Source organism: Homo sapiens, chromosome 5 (genome assembly GCF_000001405.40).
Source record: "Homo sapiens chromosome 5, GRCh38.p14 Primary Assembly".
Classification (NCBI taxonomy): Eukaryota; Metazoa; Chordata; class Mammalia; order Primates; family Hominidae; genus Homo; species Homo sapiens.
In genome coordinates, this window is record NC_000005.10 from 137267901 (window position 1) to 137289804 (window position 21904).

The window sequence follows — 21904 nt, forward strand, 5'->3', positions numbered from 1 at the left end:
TGCACATTATCCTCATAGCATCTTTAAGGATTTGTCCCTTTGTAGTTAATATTCAATTGCTTTGCTATATGTGTTTTTGGCAGGCAGTCTGCATGCTGCAGTTTTAGAAAGCTGCCCAAAATGAAGCCTCAATATCTCTTCTGGTAAAGCTAATTTACATCAAAGCGCACAATTAGTTTAAATTATTGTCCATGCTGTGTTCTGATGCAGTTTATCTCTGACACGATCTCCTGTGAATTTTATCAGCCTCAGTGTCATTCAATTATGTAGCTTTATTATATCCTTGTTGAGTTCACCTAGGCCCTTAAATAGATTTTAGGAAACTAGCTTTAGAGTAAAATCAGAACATATTGTTTCTTGGCCAGTGATTCCATCTTCCAAGGCATTAGGAAATAAACAGCTTCCTCTGGATCCAGAGGATTCAGCACTAAATTATTTTTAGTTTCAAAGAATTGCCCACTTTGCTCCAGCTTTAGTTTTATAGAATAACTGGCCTTCTCACCCATCTGGTTAGGGAGTCTTTGAGCTCTTTACCATGAAATATCACTAAGGAAATTTAAAACAGTCTCTCTGCAATATCTTTCCCCATTTATAAGTTTAAATACAATCCCAAACTTTTGGAATTGTGCTGTCAGAAACTCGGCAGCCACTGTTAAATGATATTAAGTTAAAAGTTGGATGGCAGATAGGAAATTTAGCACCCAATTTCTAGGTTTGATGACCAAAGTGTTCTTAGCCTTAGACAACCATGTTACCAACATTTTCTGCTATTCTCAAGGGCAGAAGAGATAACCCAAGATGAACTCATTCTCACAAGTGGAGAAAAAAAGGATCAACCGTTCATCCTTCCAACTGTGGTTTATCAATGCTCTCTCCACATACAGAGGATGGCATCACATATAATGGCAATGTGAAATCTTGTGAAATATTTTCTACTTGAACATGCTGTTCTAATAAAGCCCTTGGAAGCTCAGGCTGTGTGTCCAACAGGGAAGGGCTGGAACCAAAGACAAGTTCCTTTAACTTTAATTTCACAGGCCACATTCTCTTTGATGTCAAAGAAAGGTTTGAGCAAGTCTCAAGAACTGGATATTCCCTAATGATTTCAACATATTTTATAACTTGGATGGAATTTGAAGCATTCTTCTGGACCTTGCCACTTTTTCAGGTTAACTATAATTACCATTTTTACCTATTTCTTAGGGAAAAATCACAGTTTTAAGTATAAGGCCTCCAAAAGTAGCTATCTGCATTAGAATATTTAAAGCTCATTGCAAATGTAACAATACTGCCTAATTGCTGCCAAAATGTGAAAGTACACCTTGAGTGAAAACTCATTATGCAAAATGAGTCCTTCAAACAACCCCTTGCCCAGCCAGGCCAAGCAGGGAAGAAAAATGATTCTCTGCATCTGATTGCTTTTGCCCTGCCTCAGGAAAGTGGACTGCCAAAGCAAAAACCAATGAGCCAGAGCTGATAAACCTTTGTGTATCACTGCTTTGGCTGCAGCTGAGAGAGGAAACCTCACATCAGGGGCCAAGATCATGAACACATGTGAAGGACTCCAGGCACCAGAGCCCACTTGGGGGATGGTCACTGAGCATGGGGGAGGGGTCTCTTAGCAGCCACTGCTGCAGTCTATGTCAGGAAATAAGTGCTGGAGTATACGTGATCACTCCTGCACACTGTCCTAGCTAGGTTCAAGGGCTTCCACACACGGTGAGTATAAGCAGGCTGGGCTGCATCAATTAAGTCACTCTGTGTCTGGGAGAATTCTGGTGAGGCACAGTCAAAACTCAAGTGGAGAAAGCCAAAGATAAAAGACAAAAGAAAAAAGAATGGCTCCTCTAGAGCTTCACCTCCTGAAAATTTGTTCATCCCTGAGACCCACTTAACGATTGGGGTGCTCAAAGGACATAAGGATAGTTGTCAGTGGTCCTGAACCAACACCCTACCAATACCAAGGCTGGGCATTTCACCAGGGCCTAAGACTCAGGTGGCAGAGCCAGGCTTTTAAAAAAAAAAATCTTATTTTCTATCTAAATAAAAACATATTGTATCTATTTTACATTGTCCTGAAATGAACAGACCCCATGACTTGCTATGCTGTCAATAATTCTATCACTTCTACCCTGGGAAGTAGTGTGTCTGCCCCGGCACGATCCCAGTGCTGTGTGGGCCCCACACTTAAGCCCTGAAGCTGACAAAGTGCAGGACATTAACAGCCCTTGCCTCTGACCTTCCCTCTGGCCCAATAAAGTTATGGCTTGTTAAAATTCAAACTGTGGTGAAAGACATATTGGATAGATCAAACTTGTCAGGCAAGGCATATCTATCTGAGTTAGCCTTTTGAGTGGCAATTTTATCATCTAATGATAAAGCTTTTTTAAAGACTTGCAAGGAGCCCAGCAACAGTTAATTTTTAAACATAAACCCAAATAGAAAGATGCATATCTAAATATAGTCATTTAAGTTCAATAGCTCCCATTAATGCATTCCACAGGTTGAGGAATGAAGGATGGCAGTGTTACTACATGTCTATTTTATGGGTTACACTGAAGAATATAATTATGTCAGGCATCTTCTGGACAGGACAGAGAACGGTCTTGCTGTAAATTCTAACTAACCCATATGAGGAAAGACTGAATCCATTTCACTATAGCATTTCATAAATGAATATTATTCAACCCTTTTTTAGAGATTGTTAAAACCTGAAAGACCCTGTAAATGTAAACAGAGGCCCAAACTTAAGCATACTGACTTAGGTCTAGAATCACATAGTATTCCAAGGCAGCAGGAACTCTCATGAAAAGTTGACATGGCCAGGCCCAGTGGCTCACACCTGTAATCCCAACACTTTGGGAGGCTGAGGTGGGTGGATCACCTGACGTCAGGAGTTTGTGACCAGCCTGGCCAACATGGTGAAACCATATCTCTACTAACAATACAAAAGTAGCTAGGTGTGGTGGCACATGCCTGTAGTCCCAGCTACCCGAGAGGCTGAGACAGGAGAGTCGCCTGAACCCGGGAAGCAGAGGCTGCAGTGAGCCAAGATCGCACCATTGCACTCCAGCCTGGACAAGACGGAGCAAGACTCTGTCTCAAAATTAATTAATTAATTAATTAATTAATTTTTAAAAAGTCACCATAAAGATCATGGTAAGAAAGTGACAAACCATCCATGTCCAGGATGAAGGAGGAGGGTTGGTGTTAGTGGGAGAGGAAGAAACAGAGACTGGTAGCAAATAAGACTCCAGTTATTGTTTTATTTTCTACAGCTGATCAACAAAGATAAAACTATATTTCTCCATTTATCTCACTTATTAAATATTCCACTAAGATAGTACTGAAACCTGTGAAATTATTGGCACTCGATGGCTGGTGCAAAGGAATTTAACTATTAATGCTTTAGAGATATTCTGTTCAGATAAGCATCAATGAAAAAGAAAATATGTTTTACATATACATATATACACATTTTATATATAATATATATTATTAAAGATATATTTATTATATATTACTATATGTTTTTCATACACATAAATATGCCAAGACCACTCCACTCTATAATGCATCTTCCAATGAAATAATTAAGTCTGCTTAACATGAAATGACAAAATATTCTTGCTATAATTTGGGTGATTAAGTCTCTTCATCACAGATGATCATAGCCAACAGCCCATTTTGAATAAGAACCTGAATTTTCTTTTACTATACCATAGCCCCAAAATGACTGATGCAATTTAGCTCAAATATTCACCAGGGATTTGCCTTTCAAGAGGTGCCTATTTAATCTCCAAGGAATGTCAAAGCTGACTCTGAGGAAAAGATGGGGTGGCAGAACCAAATGAAAACCCAATTGCCTTGGCACCCAATTATGAAGATGATAATGTAATTGTATCAGCTTCAGATGCTACAGATCAAACACATTTAGTTCTCATGAAACCGATCGTTTCTCCTTCATACATATTTTAGCTAAGCTGTTTGAACCCTGCCGTTTCATCTGATGATTACCTGAGATAATATTAATACAAATTACCAGCCTAGAAAATAAATGGGAGCCTCATTTGTCTTGACCAGGAGGGAGCAATAGAGACATAAACTGAAGGAAGCAAATTAAAAGGAGGGCAGGTAGTCATTTTGGAGTTGTCTGTGGGCTGATTGCAGATACACACAAAATGGAGAAGCACTTCCCTGCAAGGCTAAGTAGATCAGAACTGAGTTTGTAGATCCCAGATGGAGGCACACTCCACTTTACCAAAACTGCAACCTTTAGAAAGAGATCAATGAAGGGACTGTAGCCAAACTGCTCTCAAGAGAATTCAGTGCAAACTGGTTCTATTTATCTTCACACTACTTGACTGGGGGGAATAGGAAGAAGATCTGGTTGGTGGGTGGGAGAAATGTCCCCGAAATGATAATAGAAGTCACCAGAAAAGTGAGATTTCCAGACCATTATGTAAATGCTTCTGTTATATAATGTGACATTTGCCTGTAATTTTGTGTGCAATGGAAATCTCTGCTAATCAAACTATTATAAGGTACAAAACACTCCATTTATTAAGAAAGGAGCTAGCATCACACACAACTACCCTACCTCTGAGCTGTTTTCATTCACATCTCTGGGCAAATAATTTGCTGTTTGTCTCCTCCCCATCTCTGGTGAGGAGCCTCAGTGAGAATCCTTCTGAATGAAGTGACCCAGCTTGGGCAGTGACTTGAGGCTTCTCAGCCTTCCATCCAAAGCTACCACTCGTGAGAACCCTGTACAACAGAGCCTGGGAGTTGTCTGCATTAATACATTTCTGTGTGCACAAATCACCCACCCCCACCCCCCCACCCCCCAACACACACACGGGCCTAGGCCGCTTCTGAGCAGGGATGGGTCTTACTCACCTGCACATCCCCTAAGGCATCACTCAACAGCACACAGTAAATCCTTGCTAAATCACATCAAATATAAGTAAGCAATTCCAGTTTGTAAGCAATTCCATCTCTGTATCCCTGTGAAATTCCCATAACTATTACTAGTGTGTGTAAGTACAGGTGGTTGTATGTTTATACACACACTCTAAATCACCTTCACCCTGAATAGAGCAATTCTTTGATAAATTGGTCTGACATTTGGTTTAAAGTCCTCCAGGTCTTAGACAAAATGATTCAGAAAATAACAATGTCAGTTGCTCTGCTCTTTCAATAAATAACCCACCAGTAAAACACAGATAATAACTGACAATCATACTTGTACTGTAACTAATGAGAAAAGATAAAGCAGCAAATGGACTGTTTATATGCATTTGATAAATTGCATCCCTTGGATATACCAATGAAAAATAAATGTGTGTGGTACTGGTTCACTGAACTAAAACAAATATTTACTACTGAGATTTCAGATTTAGAATGAAATTTACATTTTATTTGGCAACTACTTTAATGCTATGTCTACATACAGTTGAAAAATCAAAAACCTACCTCAACTTCCTGAGTACGAAAGCATTATAAATGAGAAAAAAATAAAAGAATCACATCAAACAATAGGAAGAAATGTATACATTTTTGATAATTGCATCAAATTTTCAAATTATCATAACATTAGAAAGGTCATCCAGATATGCTCTCTTAATTCACCTACCATCATTCCTTTGAAAAGGTCCCAACAATTCACTAAGTTCATGGGAAAGGACATGAGGTTATGGGGTAGAATAACTGAAGTGGGATGAAATCTGAGTGTGGTCTAGTGATCTATATCATTGCTGCCGAACAGCTAGCAAAATCATGATTAAATCCCAACACTCAGCCATGATTACCATCCACAAGAATTTCAAATGAGTAATTGCCTGTGACATTGGTCCAAAGGGTGAAATTCAGTAAAAACCCCAAGATGACATCCAAGACCAAGAGTAGTATACCTTCTACATTTCTGCAAAGAAATTCCTTTGCCTTGCAGTTTCAAAATAGCTTGAGGGGTCCTCAAACCTGAGAAAGATATGGATTTATGTTCCTAGGAAATATGTAAAATGAATAGCATTGTCATTGCTCCTCTAGCTGATTCAAGGATCATCACCAACACAAAGAGCTCCCTCTTCTTAGGGACTTTCTGTCTGTCCTGGTCAGTCCATCCAAGCTGGGGTGGAGAGAAGTAACCCACTGGCTTGTTCTTTTCCCAAGGGAAAGAACTGAGTCTGAGGTTTATTCCCCAAAATATGCCCTGTGTTTGGGCTTTTCTTCTGGGGATATGAATGGGCATATGATGCTCCATTTGTACTCTGGCCAAGACATGTGTTGTCTCCTCAGACTCAAAACCATCCACAACCTTGACTTTATTAGCAAAATTATCAAATTGAGCTGGCCAAGAGCAGCCTTCTTAATATCTAGGAAGGAAAGAATAGGTCAGCACCAAGGAGTTAAAGTCAGAGAAGATACTGTAAACATGGCAGGCTTTGAAGCAGATGTGGGTTCAAATTCTGGCTCTAGCACTCACCAGCTATGTGGCCTTGCACAATCTACTCAGCTTCTCCGAGTCAATTTCTTTATCCATAAAACAAGACCACTTGCACCTACCTTGAAGGATGGTTGCAATGACTTGCAATAATGATGCAAAGTGCTTGGTATGATATCTGGCATACAGAATTAATAAATAAAAGGTACACAATTTCATGTCCATTTCCTGAGGTTTACAGTAGGGGGATGTCCCAGGAACACTGAGAGAAACATTAGACTTTGTGGATATGTTTTAAATTTCAATAATGCAATTCTTGCATATTTGAATCTTGTCAATTAGGCCCAAGTGAAGGGAGACCAATTGCAACTGGAAAAAATAATTATGAAATACTTAAATGCATGTAGTTTTATTAGTCTCATGTATGAAGAGAGATTTTTAAAAAATCAATGAAATTTGAAAACTTGAGCTACAGGCATATTTTGCGTAAAGGGCAGACACGTACTATCTAAGATTCGGTCACACCTCTCTATTAAATAGACCCCATCTATTAAAAAAGACAATACTTACACCAGTGGGCCTATTTGTGCATTGAGTGTGGCATTTTAAACCACTGAAAGGTATTACCTATCATGTAATTGTAAACAAATTAATTAAAGTTTCAATTATGATTAACTATATCCTGATAAGGGACCTGAACCTGCTCTGAACAGGCAAAATTTCTGTGTAATCATTAATTTACATGTAGAAAACAGATGGAGGAACCCTGAAAGGGTATGTCTCCTTGGCACACCAAACAAAGCCATTGCCATCTTATAGCTTATAGCACGTAAACCTTCATTTCAGAGAAAGTACAAATTATACTGGCCTGAGGCCCAGCCTTGTCCGAGTATCACAAATCCCAAATTAATTAGGTCCAGCCATCTTTCTGAGAATGCCTGCTCCCTTCCCCCACCATAGCTGGCAGGCCTCCATGAACATCCAGATGCTACCTTGTAGAGAATAAAACACCAGCTATTAACTACCACCTCACCATCCCTCCCCACTTATCCTCTCACCAAACACAGGGATTGGCAGAAGCAGTGGTTTCCACCTTGGCTGATGGCTGGGGATGCTGTGGGGCTTTTCAAACTCTGATGCCTGGCCCAGGGCAGGAGGTGCTGATTCAGTGGCTGGAGTGTAGCCTCCACACTGGGATGTTTTAAAAGCTCTCCAGGTGATTCTAATGTGCAGCCTCCATAGGAAGTCACACACTAAATCACAGTGACTGAGGTGACTGAGGGAAGGCCAGGCCCACCATGGAGAGCAAACCAGGTACAGAACATCAGGGGCCTTCTCCCCCAGCTTCTGGAGCTTTCCAGAGTTGTATCCACCTACCACTTTCAGGGTCTGCTGCTCTAAGAGTCTCCAGCTCATTAGACAGCACCTCTGTCCACCTGCTGCTGAGGCAAGAACCCAGGCCACAGGCTGGACTCCTCCCTCTTCCTTCCCTCTGCCGTTCAGGCAACAACGAAGTCATCTTCACTTGCACTCCTGGGTCTCTTTCACAACTCCCCTCTCCTCTGCCTTGGGTCAGGCCTCCACAATTTCTCCTCACAACATGGCCACGTGCCCTAACCAGCCTCCCTGCCTCCCCTGAGCCCTGCCCAGGCTGTTCACACTGCCTCAATAGTGACCTTCTAAAGGGATGTTCTGGTCACATCACCCTCCTGCTTAAAATGCTGGAGGGACTCCCAGGTCAAGGCCAAGCCCATCAGCCCAGCTCACAGGACTTCTGTGCCCCAGCACCTGCTGAGCCTTGCAGTCACCTTATGGCCACACTAGCTTACATGGTCGAGCCACCAATGAACTACGTTTTAATCCTGCAGCAGCCTATGCTCTCTTCGTTCCCCAAAACTCTGTCCATGCTATTCCTTCTGTGCCTGAAACACTCCTCCTTACCCTTCTTTTGTTAACATTTACTCCTCTATCAAATCCCAGTTTAGACACTTCTTCTCGTGGAAAGCCTTCCTTGTCCCCAGTCCCTCTGCACTCGAGACACCCCTGCTGTGTGATCTGCAGCCCCCTGGGCTGCCTGAACAGAGCACTGAACTGCTCACACTGTAGAAGCTGGCTACTCCTCTGCAACTCAGCCACACAGACGGCAGTCCCTAGGGCCAGGGGCTGGGTGGCCTCACTGCCGAACCTCAGCACAGCATTCATTTGGCACCAGGTACTCTAACATCTACTGAATGAATAAGATAACAATCCAACCTCGGCTGGTTTTTTATGCCAGTATCTTGGACTGCAGCTCCACAACTTCTTCCCCTTTGTCTCAAAACTGATGGTTCTATGACCTGGAGGTTTCTGAGGAAGGTGAAATAGATAACTCCCTTTTAGTGACTAACTGGGGCAGTAACAGGAAACTGGAAACCAATGGGGATGACACTGGAAGGTCTCAGAGGGATCAACCAGGCTCCATAGGAGGAGGACAGGTAGATTTCTGCCCAATGGCCCCACCCCACATCTACTAATGCCCTGAGTCTCCTCAGGGACCAAGAGGACTTCATGATTTGGAACACCACAGCTGAGCCAAAATCTGATACAAGATTTAGGACTTGCATCAAATCAAAGCCCAAATCAAAACATCAAAGTAATAGTAATATTAATAGTAATCATCGTAATAATAGCAGCTACCACATTTTTTTTTTAATAGACAGGGTCTTGCCATCACTCAGGCTGAAGTGCAGTGGCACAATTGTAGGTCACTGTAACCTGGAACTCCTGAGCTCAAGTGATCCTCCTGCCTCATCCTCCCAAGTAGTTAAGACTACAGGTGTACACCACCATGCCCAGCTAATTTTTAAATTTTTTGTAGAGATGGGGTCTTGCTATATTGCCCTGGCTGGTCTCAAACTCCTAGCCTCATGTGATCCTCCTGCCTCAGCCTCCTAAAGTGCTGGGATTACAGGCATGAGCTACTTTTGCAATAATCATCTGAGACAAGCATCTCAGTGTTATAGTTGTGGAAATTGAAGCTTAGAGAGATAAAATTACTATACAAGTTCACACAGCTAGTGAGAAGCAGAACCAGGATTTGAACTCCATTTTTGCCTGACTTCGAAGATCATGCTGTAACCACTACATACTACTGCTTCAATGGCATCAATGTGAACACCAGAGACCCTGGAGAGAAGGCATGGGGCTGCCTGCCCTGTGGAGATGCACCATGATACAGGAGATACCAAGAAATGGGAGGTGACAGCACAGATGACGGGCCTCTCAAGAGATTCTCACTACCACTACCAGGACTCTCATTATATCTGAAGCCTCAGCTTTCCTATCTGTGAAATAGGGGATGAAAACACCTGCTTCACAAGGTCTCTAAGTAAGTGGACAGCCGGTCTATCTGTCATGTGTCTGCCCCAAGAAAGCAGGCAGGACACCCTGGATTCCTGATCCACCCCTACCCTCAGGCCCAGCCTCACTAAGATGGTTTTCTGGGAAGAATCATGGCCTTTGGCCCCAAAGAGAGCAGCCCCAAGAGCAGGCCGGCAGGAGATGCACAGGAGTCTCCTGCCTTTGTGTGCCCTGAACTGAGCACTCACACCTGTTTACCACCAGCACTCCTGGTGGCCCTGTGCAAAGTGAAACATCCAACACCAACATCCAAGCACCATGCTGAGGATGTAGTGGCTTTAGCATGAATCATCTCTCTGGAAAACTATGGCTGCAGGCTTGGCATGAAGTTTTCTTTAGCTGCAAAGTGAGGGATGCTATGGCTCCTCCTAGCCCTGCCATTCAGCAGCTTCTCTTCCAAGGAACATCTGGGAAAGAAAGCAATAAAACTCCTTTCACTGTGTCCCTAAGACTGTCCTAGCTGCCACCTTGCAGCCCTGTATCCTGAGGCTCCAGCCTTTGGATCCACTTACACAGCAGACGCTCCTCACCAAAGCCCCAGAAATAAATTGAGTCCAAGACTTTGTCCACTCCAAGCCTGTGCTGTCTTGATCTGATAATTCTCCTTTGAAATTTGCAATTTTGGAAGTGACATTTTCCCCACGGTAAGAGGTAACCAGAGTAGGCAAGCCTACCACAAATGGACCCACATTCCTGAGCCACAGTTTTCCTGTACAATCACCAACAAGGCTTCCATGGAGAAGAGTGGGCATCCCCTCTCTGAGCAACAGCCACTGCTAACAGCAGGGCCCACCACATGGGTAGAACAGTCCTCTGAGATTGACTGAAGGCTCTCCACAGAACCCACACTCCCAAAGGCTGCGGGGTCAAGGAGTCCTGAGCTACCCTGCCTGTTACCCAACAGGCACTGACGCAACTCTGTAATTGTTGTAACACAATTTCTCCTCCCCAGCACTGACAGAAAGATGCCTGATAGAAACAAATGACCACGAGGCACTTCAGCCAGGCTCCACTCTTCATAACTTGCTCAGCTGACCCCTTGGACAGAGAGATGACGTACTGATGTCATGTGGACAAGACGGATGGTCCAGAGAACCTACAAGAGAATTGTCTTTAGAACAAGAGCAATGCACATGAGTCCCCAGATAGTAGTCCTAACCCCACTATTGAGGACCAATGTACTAGTCTATGCCATGAACAACTGGCTGTCCTACTTCCCCCCAGGGGGAATGCTATTATCTGGTCCCGCTTATTTAGGGCCTGGGCACCCACAGAGACAGAGTGAGGCTAAGACTAGGAAAGAAATGGAGATCAAAGGCTCTAGGACCTCAATGCCCGATGACACATCCAGATCTAACCTATAAGCACTGGGGAGCCCCTGGAGGGCTTATTTGGAGGGTGACTCCACCAAACTGGTATTTTCTAAAGCATACTGCACTCTCTCTGTGTGGGACAAATTAGATGGAGCCCAACTGAAACCAAGGACACCAGCGAAGACTAACAACTACCCTTACCCTCTTGAAACCCATGGTCTAGCCAGAGGAGAAGTAACAAGAAAGGTAACCAGATTAAGCATAACATGACCTGGTAACTATCACTTAGAAAAATTAGCTATGGGTACACAGAGGAAGAAGTCACAAATTATTCCATAGAACCAGGGAAGATTCTACTGAGGAAGTACCACTGAAGCTAGTTCTTGAAGGACAGTTTTCCAGAGGATGGACACACAGTGGAGCGAGAGAGGACATTGCATTCAGGGGATCTGGCAGGTGCACGATCATGCAGTCTTTGCCGCAGCAGCTTTAATCTATGACAAAAGGCCGTGAAGCATGAGCCCAGGTGCAACAACAGAGAAGAGACAATGGGAGATGCTGGCAGCTCTACTCAGTGTCTCCTGCACCTCTCAGTCTGCCCTTTGCTCTGTGACTAGGAAACTCTGTAGCTACTGCAGCTGGCTGCCGGAGATAATGCATATGACAATTACAATCCCTCCACTTTAGCTGGAAGGCTAAGCCATGACACTGTATCTATGCCACCCAAGGGACAAGAAGCAAGCTCACACCCTGGCCCTTCCAATCCAGCAGCAAGTTTTGCCATGCCACCTGTTATGGACATGTGTGAATCATTATGAAGCATAATTAAAACCAACTAGTCTTCTGCCTGCCCTCTTTCCCTCCTAAAGAGACATGCTGAGAGCTTGCTGTACCTTTCCTTTGTTAAATAAGTAAACATCTTTCCCTCTGAAGGTGAGCTCATAGGGCCATGCCATGTGCCCATGAAACCAGGACCCTGGAGGTCCCCCGCACAGCCAGTGATCATGATTCATGGCCTCTGGCTCTCACTCGGCCTTTGAAAGGTCACACTCTAGTTTGCAGGGGACTAGAGAAGCGGAAGAGGAACAACCAGGGTTCCTAAGTCCCATCTTTTAAAATAAAAACTCTCCAGGGTAAAATTATCAGGTAAGATCATTTATATGATAAAAAAAATACACATCAATAAGGACATATTTATTTCTTGTAAGGAGCACCCAGCTGACAGAAATCATATAATACTTCTATGTTTTCATTTATTATTTGGGGAAACAATAGGAATGTTAATAACATTGCAAGTCCCTTCCAGTCCTAACATTGTATGATTCTAAACATGTCAAATGATAAATCAAATATGCCTAAAAGCTCTGTGTAAATAAAGTAGGAGCAATTTTCAGACTAGCAAGGACTGGAATGCACTGAAAGAATACAAGGCAGACTAAAGCAATAAGCTGCTTTTGCTTTTCTTTTTATTTTTGCTTCCAAATTTTAAGGACCTAACATGAACACAAACAGTAATTATGTCCTAGATCTTTAAAAATCCCTTTCCTGTTAAATAACTTATGAATATTAAAGAAAGATTCCAGTTGGATTTTTCTCATGATGCCCAGAACTACTAAAACAGAATCTCTTGAACAAATTACCAAGACCAAATCCTTTGGCAAAATTACATTCTCTTGCAAGTCGAAGACTCTAGGGGAAAGTTACATAGGAAGACATGAGAAGAAAACAGAAAAACAATATGAAAGAAGACTAAAGATGCCACAGTGATTACTTCATCCACCTTGTAAACACAGCCCCGGTGCACCAATCCCCTCCTCCCAGCGCTCAGAGGCCTGCAAAGGAAGGACAGACACCTCCACCAATGTGCTGGAAGCCTCAACCATCCTTACATAGTGCCCATGACCCACTGTAAGAAGAAGAGAAGGGAATACAGAAAAGGATTAGAGAAAAATCAAAATGGTAAAGATAGTTATGGGAATATGAAGGGTTTCTTCCTGTTTCTACTTTACTACTTTTCAATTAAAAAAAAAACATGGATTACTTCTTAAATTCATATATTATCTATATATTCATTCATTTATTTATTCATTCAATCATTGACTCATTCATTTAAAGCCCTCTGGGGTAGGTATAAGGAAGACAGCATCACCCTAACATTATAATCTGGGAAACTACAGCCCAGAAAAGTAAAATCATTTTTACATGAATTCACATAGCACTAAAATCTACAGTATAAGGTCCACGTACACCAGTGGCATAGACTCTGAGAAAAGTATCTACATCCCAGACATGAGAAGTAAAAATGAAGAGCTTCTTGGGCCATGATCATGGCTAAAGTCCAGGAATGTTTCCAGGCAGCTGAATGGAACCACAAACCCTTATAATTAGCCTGTTTCTGGGATGGCAAATAGTGTCACCCATTCATTTATTTCTTTTGTCCTGGCATTTCTGTACCCTATTAAGAAATGAAAGATCTGAAATAAGCAAGGAGTGACCCTCAGCTCACCCACCAACACATAGCCCATGGCCCATGCCAGAAATATGCAGGAGAAAGCCCCAGAAATCACGTTTACCCACAAGGCGGTGACAGCTCCTGCAAAAGATCCAAATTGTGGCTCGATTTGTTCAAGCATTCGGGGCTCAGCTATCTCATCTAATTTACCAGCGAGACACACAAGTCACAGCTAGAACTGAAGGCACCCTGTCAGGGCTGCCTGCTGGAATTATTTGGGAACAATACCGTGTGGGTTATTGTCGAGCTGCCCATCACAGCCTCGGATGTCCGTTTCTCACACCTCTCTTCACAAAACTCAGCTCTTAGCCCAGCTTGGAGCTAAAATTAACGGTTCTGTTTCCTGGTCTAAAACATGAAATATATGAACAGCTATGGCAGTTTTTTAACTGGTAACTTTTCTTGATGTTTCTATTGCCATTGCCTAAGTGACTCTGGACAAGCATTTAACCTTCCTAGGCTTCAGTTTCCTCATCTGAAAATGAGGGCAATGGTGCCTACTCTATCGGGTTAACGGGAGGATTATTTGAGACTTACATGCCAAACACCCAGCGCATAGGATGCACCAAGAAATGGTAACTATATTTTGTAGTTGACCCCAGTATATCCTCTGCCTTACGCTGATAACAGAGTTTTAAAAATATACCGCTACTTTCCTCTGGATTAGTATATTTGTGATGCTGCCATTCTGACTCTGAGGAGATTTTTAAAAATCAAATCTGGGTGATAGCTGCATTGGAAAAGCGGCAGCCGCTGCTCTGTGCAAAAGTGTAAATAAAATGCCACTTAAGTAATCACATTACTCACAGCTTAAGGTATGCAGCTCAGAGCTGCAAGCAAACACGCATGTGTGATGGATTTCTCATTATCTGTTGACTGCCACTGCAGTCCATCCAGCTGTCTGCAGGCGTCCTGCCTAGGAACGTCTACATCAAATCCTGATGGGCCCACACTCCTGCTATCAGTGGGAACAGACCCAGCAGGAAGGAGGTGATGCCTTCATAATAAGGTGATAAAGCAAACAGAAATGTTTGTTTGGAGAAAAGCTGCCAGGTTCAAAGTCAGCCATTAAAGGTCCCTTCCTTAGCTTCCAAATGATGCTGGGACTCTCCAACATCATTTGGGCCAGAGAAAATCTCCAGTTTCTTCCTCCCGGTCCCTGCCATGAAGAGACTTGGCCTCCTCAGAAGCTATGGTATCATCTACTTTTGACTCAGCAGTGCCCAGTGCCAGACCAGGCACCAAAGGAGAAAACCCAGAAATACTGCACTAGACTCTAGCTCCTCTCTGAAGTGGGGCTCTGAAATCCCAGGGGTTCCCATTTGACTAAAGCTGCCCAGAAAAGTGCCAAGAACTGACTGCAGATGCATTAGGTGCTTAGACCTTTTACACTCTGGATAGATACAGAACTTGTGGAGAAGCCACTTCACAATCCAACTGCAAGTGTGCAGTGCAGATGTGGGCATCTACAGGGGCACAGGCTGGAAAGTCCTCAGGTAAGGATGCGAGGCTCAGTTCCTCGTGTTAAATCTGATCCTCTGAGGCACCTGCCACCTTTCCTTGGGGACGGAGCTGCCTCCAAGTGGGTATCTTTGATTGGGGTAAGGTTTATCCTTGGAGACTCTACCCCTTTTGCCTCTACCTCCCAGTGGAGCTTCTGTGCCCTCATGATCTTCCTCCCTACCTTTGCTCCTCAACACTTGCTCCTGGATCCTTCCTCAGCTCCCAGTTCACTCACATGTTATAAGTGATCCAAGCCTGAAGTGACAAACTTCTACTAGGGTGTCTGCCTCCTGAATTTATGGCATGCCTGTCGGCCTCAGTCAGAAAAGGATGGAAAGTGAGGACACTTAAGAACTAGCAGAGACCAGGCGCAGTGGCTCAGGCCTGTAATCCCAGCACTATGGGAGGCCGAGGTGGGCAGATCACTTGAGGCCAGGAGTTCGAGACCAGCCTGGCCAACACAGTGAAACCCCATCTCTACCAAAAAATACAAAAATTAGCCAGGTGTGGTGATGTGCACCTGCAGTCCCAGCTACCTGGGAGGATGAGACAGGAGAATCACTTGAACCCAGGAGGTGGAGGTTGAAGTGAGCCAAGATCATGCCACTGCACTCCAGCCTGGGTGACAGAGCAAAACCCTATCTCAAAAACAAGATGAAACAAACAAAAAAAAAAACTAGTGTAGAGGTAAAAGGGAATGAAAATATTCTGCAAATAGCATTCAAGGAAGAGACAGTGACCAAGAAAATGAGCATAGTCGATGTGAAAACATTTTCTACTACAGACCTGAAATAGGCCCAGTAGGCAGCAGAGCAAGGACCCAGGTCCTAGAGGAGGTAATGGTACCTTGCCATTTTCTAAGCAGAAACCAAGAAACTGTAACTTGAGCCTGTGTTCACCTACAACAGGAAGCAAATGAATGTTTACTGAACATCCATGGCCTGCCAAGCACCGCACTCTGTGCTTTATGTAGATTATTCCACAATATCAGCACAATGACTTTGCAAGGATGATGGTGGCCTCTACATTTTGTAGCTGAGGAAACTATGGCTCAGAGAAGTTAAGTAACCTGTTCCAGGTGACACCAGGCAGGAAACACAAGAGCCAGCAGTCACATCTGGTTCTGTCCAACTGCTCCTTCTGTGCACCACGATAGCCTACTGCCCCAAATTGGCTACAGATTCCACCAAGTTCTAGACCATCATCTCCCAAAGGGTGAACTCTGCTGCACCCGACTCAGACCCATACAACCAGCAGGGACTCAGAACAGGTATTGGTTGAATCAAAGCTGCTACATGGAGAAATTATGACTCCTCTTGGCAACTAACAATTCTTTTGAAGGAAAAAGACAACCCTTGATAAAGCCCAGGGAAACTGAGCTTTCTGTGCTAAAACATGAGTGAACACAGGATTTAGAAGGAGAGGGGAGAAGAACTGAAATCCTAAGAGACATCTGGAAGGAAGCGGACGGAAGGACGAGGAAGGTGCTGGGCCTGGCTCTGCACTAGAGTAAGGTCAGGAGAAAGCCAGTCCATGGGAAGGGCCCTCGGGTGGCAGAGTGACCTCATGAAAGGAGAAAATACATGTTTAATTACAAATTTTGAGACTGTCTGTTGTGGAGTGTGTGAGGTAAGACCCATCCTTAGTCTCCCACACAAAATCTTTAGTGAATTCCACTGGGCGCACTAACACCTGTGTGCAAATGACTCCTCTTTGGGAAAGGAGGGGTGGGTTCAAAGAGGTGGCAAGTTCTGTGACTGTGAGGGAAGCTCTGGGAACTACAAGATGAGGGAACAGCTGGTCCCAAACCAACCTTGCTATGACACTGGACCTCTGCATGGCTCCTGGGTAGAGATGGGCAGCGGGCAGAGGATAAAGCAGAAGTCTCGCTCATACAGCTTTTGTTTACACAAGTTCTGGGGAGGGCCAGTTCTCAATGTATGGAGAACAACTCGCTAATGTGCATCAGCCCACAGTTCGATATGTGAATTGCCCCAGACTAATGTGCCTCTGTCCCCAGCAGCAGCGCAAGCACAGATTGGGCCCAACAGCCAAGCGGGTTGCTCGCAGACACACACACGTTAAGAAACCTGGGGCCCGTCTCACTAAAATTAGATGCAAATTTGATTTTGGTCATTGCTTGTCTTCCTGCTGGTCCTTGCATTCTTCTTCCACACAATGATTATACCTGATGACAGAACTGGAGAAAATATTAAATAAATTATGAACACATGCTCAACCACAGCAGCACAGATCTTTTGTGTTATTAACATTGTCTCTCTGCTCTTTAGAGGACCACATTATTCTTGAATCTTTCACAGCTAAAATCTACCTGGAAACATAAATTTCCCTCACTGTAATGTGAACAAGTCCCTTAACAACAGCAGCAGTTCATTACCAAACCATTTTGGGTTAGATTTCTCCAAGAAAATAAATAACCAGTTTAAAGACCGTCAGAAAAATGGCCCACTCATATTCAGCTTAAACATGGTTATTTATTAGAAATCATCAAGAGCCACTCACACCTGTGGTAACTATTAGCACAGAAGGTCCTCAGTGAGGTTTCTACTTAAAGACAGGAAAAAGACATGAAACATGGAGCTGCCATGGCATTCCATTTTGAATAGATCCGCATTTCAGCCTCGCCTTGGCCTTTGTGTCTGCTCTTGGTAATGGAAGCCTTTTGCACCAATTGTTCAGGCATGGAAGAGCCCTAGGGAGATATTTGTAAGAGGGGAGAATACCACATGTAGAGCCACTACTCTGTGCCAGGCAGGGCTCACCCTCCAAAGTGGAAGTCAGCACAATTGTTTTTTTTTTCTGTAAAGGGCCAAATAGTAAATAGTTTAGGTTTTGTAGGCCATATACAGACTCTGTCACACATTCATCTTCTTTTTAACCCCTCCTTTAAAAATCATTCTAAACTAGCTGGCCTCAGCTGGAGCAGGCCTGTAGGCTGAGTTTGTCCATCCTGCTCTAAACAGACTACATCTCTTAATGTTCTTCACCACCCTAGGTGGTCAATGCTGTTTTTACCATTTTAAAGATAAAGGGAATGAGGTGCTGAGATGTTAGGGAACCTGCTTGAGTTCACACACTTGGCTAAGTGTCAAAGCACAAAGCCAGACAGGATCTAAATCTAGGTCCATTCGTTTTTAAAGGTCAGACACTTCCCACTATATCACATGGCCTCAAAAACATTCTAAATTTGGCAACTCTCTTCTCAGAAAAGAGTGAATTTATACTATGAGTAAGAAGGGATGTAGGGAACTAATGTTTCTTGAACATCTATGTGTTGCCCTGGCCACGAGAGTCCACAGGGCTGCCATGGATGGTTGTATAGGTCACTCGCTGAACAAGAATGCCAGGTCAGGAAACTAACGCAGGCTGAAATCCCATCTGCACTGCACACAGTAACCAAGCACCCTGGAGCAGGTCTGCACTCACCCAGAAGGGCCCCTCCTTCTATTTCTTACTAGGCCCATGGTGGCTGCAGCAGCCCTGCTAGTGTACCTCCCAGGGAGGCAGAATGAGGGAGGACCAGCCTCACCAAAATCCAGGGGAGACTGCAGCCTAGAACAGCAAAGGGAGATAGAATAGAGTCTGAGTGTGTCAAATCACAGAGCAGGAGGGTGGTAGGTGAAGCCAGTGACAGGGACCCAGGTACCAAGTCTCGGCCACAAGGAGAACAAAGTTCCCCCAACAACCTTAGGATAGAATTTTGCAGTAAGAAGACAAATAGACCACTGTTTCACACACAGTATGAATTAACCTACATCATTATCTCAAAAGGTAACAGTGGAAAACAGGTACTTTAAAGGAAGAGTTACACAAATTCTATTCAGTTCAACAATTATTAGCTCTCTTAGTGATCACTTTACAAGAGCTTATTAAAAGGCAACAGGAGGTGCTGGAGAATTTCCCTAATATCTTGATGTTTATATTCTACAGGTGCCATCCTTAACAAAAACACACTGTTAACCTGGAAGAAAAATAGGTGGCACCCAGGGTCACACTGCTTTTCAGTTGGTCCTGCAAGCTCCCAGGCCACAGTTCTTCAGACCATTGCCTCCAAAGTCATCAGCCAAGCATTATGGGGACATACAAGTCCCCACTTGGCTGCCATGGTGCAAACTGTTTCTGCCCTAAAGCTCCCTGTCAGAAGACAGCCGGGGTCCAGTCCCAAGACTGACTGTATGTCCTGCTCATCATGCCCCTCCTCCTAGACTCAGACCTTCTGGTCATAACTTGCAGGAGGCAAACTAAACCAAACACCACCAGAAGCGCCTCCACACAGAGGCATGCTCCTGCCTCAGGGCTCGACGAGACTTCCTTGCAGTGACAATGCTGGCAAAGGGTCCTTAAGCACCCTTGAGGCTTCTGTTCTCCCCCATCCTACCCAACTGGAAAAAATATACTCAGAATCGTCTCCCTGAGATTGCAGAGGGCAAAAATTTAGTGAAATTGATAGGCACTGGTTAACAAATGGAAGAAACTACACTTTCCATTTTTAATCTCCAACTTTAAGGACAAGATTTTTCTCAGATGCCTCTAACAGTTTCTGCAATTGTCTCTAGATAGACACTAGTGAAGAGAGAAAGCAAATTGCTCCCTGCAATTACTAAGCTCTGAACTCCTAAACAGCCAATTTTTATGCTGTCATTGTAGTTGTGTCTATGGACAGCTGGTTCAGGCTAGGGCAATCATTCCCAGAGCCCTTCACTACTGCTAAATGCAATGTGGAAAATTACCCAGAAAACAGCTGTTTGTGCTTTAGGCGGTACCTACATGGGGAGAGAAGCAATGGGCGGGTAGAAGTCACAAGCCATAAAATTGAGAAAATACTATTTTCAAGTTAAATGCAAAGGGAAGTCCCATTACAAGAGGTAATCAATAATCAAGAAGAAGGACAATAAGAAAAGACCCTCTGGTTAAAGAGAGAAGGGAAGCAGCAAGAGTCCCCTCCAAATGACAAATAAGTGAGCTGTAACAGTTCCAGAGAGACTTAACTTCACCACTGTTATGGTCCCAAGAGCATTGATGGTGCTCACTCAGCAACAGGGAGCCAGGCACAGTCCTCAGCTTCTGTGTGATTTTCTCCTTCAATGCACACAACTCCACAATGTAGAGGCAGCTTCTATCTCAATTTTGGTAAAGTTCCGTGGCTCAATGCACACTGCTACTGACTTTTGAAAGAACAAGTAATGGCAGCATACCTATTCTCCTTTCCAACCATAAGCCAAGAATCTAAGAGACTTAGAACCCTTGGACATACCCAATCCTAACTCTGTCCCAGGTCTTGACAATAAGCTGCCCACAACATAGAAAGACCAGCACAGTGTCCTGAATCCTACACAATGCTTCCCCTTCTAAAGGCTCTATCTTCCCAGGCACAGCCAATTCTCACTCTCTACTTTGAATCCCTCTTACTTGTGAACAATTGGCCAGTGGGGTATAAAGCAAGGGTCTTTAATCAGTGAATACAGAGAGGGTCCAGAAGCAGCCAGAGAATCAAATCGCTAGCCTCTCCTAGGTTCCTGAGACCTGGCAGTCATTTGCTGCCAAGCCTGGACACCAGGCTACATTTAGATGGAAAATCTGGACTCACAAAGATTTTTACATACAGAATTCTAAGCAAGGTTATTGAAGTCCCTCACGGTTTATCCAGAACCTCCAGGCTCTCCTAACTGTACCAGGGGAACAGGACACAATGCCATCTGGAATGATGTTTTAGTAAACAACTTTAAAAGCCACTAAGGTGACTGTTGACTTCATTGATTTATTTCTGTGATGGAGAACTGGGGAAGGAAAAGCTACCCAATTTTTCCTCAGTACTGAACTATTCATAGCAGAAAGCTCGAAATGTGGTTTGATTAGCTTAATGCAAACTGCAAAAAGCAAGGATACATCCTCACCAGCAGAGCAGTGCAGTAGAGTACTGAGCTATGGGGTCCAACAGAACCCAGCTTGAGTCTTGGCTTCAACAAGATTATTGACTACGTAACCTTAGAAATGAACTGAACCTCACTTATCCAATCTATGAAATGAGGTTATTAATGAAGCAAGCTTCATAGAGTTTACCAAGTCAAAATGAGTTAATCCATGTAATGTGCTTAGCTAAAGGACTGATGAATGCTCATTATAAGTAATACTCTTGTTTAATAAATGATTATAAATTATATGTATTTTAACCCTTACCTCCTTTTTTTCTTTCCAAGGCCTGCTCATCATATAACTATTTTAAGGGAAAATGGTTAAAGGAAATACTTGATTGGCTTGTTGCTTTTCTTTAAAACACGGCACATTCTGGTTCCATGGTCTAAAATATGATCCAAAGAGTCAGTGACTCTTTGGATTTTACCCAGTGGAAATGAGTCCTTTAAAAAGAGGTCTAACATGTAAGCCAGAGGCAAAGGTGGGAGAAAGTGGTACTTTTTTATCATAAAGAAGCAGCAATTCAGGGGAGAAAGACAACAAGTTTCCCAGCTAGAGATGTGTTGGTTGAAGCTAGAACAAAGCCATTAGAGCTGTATATCCTGCTCAACAAGAGGAGGAAAACCACATTTTCCCAGATCTTGCTTTAAAATGCATACGGGAATGAGCATGCAAAGAATAAAATTCATAAAGCATCTCCCACCTCAAAAAAACACCAAAAAGAGAGTGAAAAGCCAAGCCACATAGTGAGAGAGAAGATACTTGCATCACTTAAAACCAACAAATGGCTTGCATATAGAA

General features: G+C 43.5%; 1 protein-coding gene across 1 annotated transcript in view; it reads right to left on the reverse strand.

Moving 5' to 3' along the window:
* SPOCK1 (SPARC (osteonectin), cwcv and kazal like domains proteoglycan 1) overlaps positions 1–21904 on the reverse strand; it is a 524029-nt gene that overhangs the window by 292603 nt on the left and 209522 nt on the right. The window lies entirely within an intron of this gene.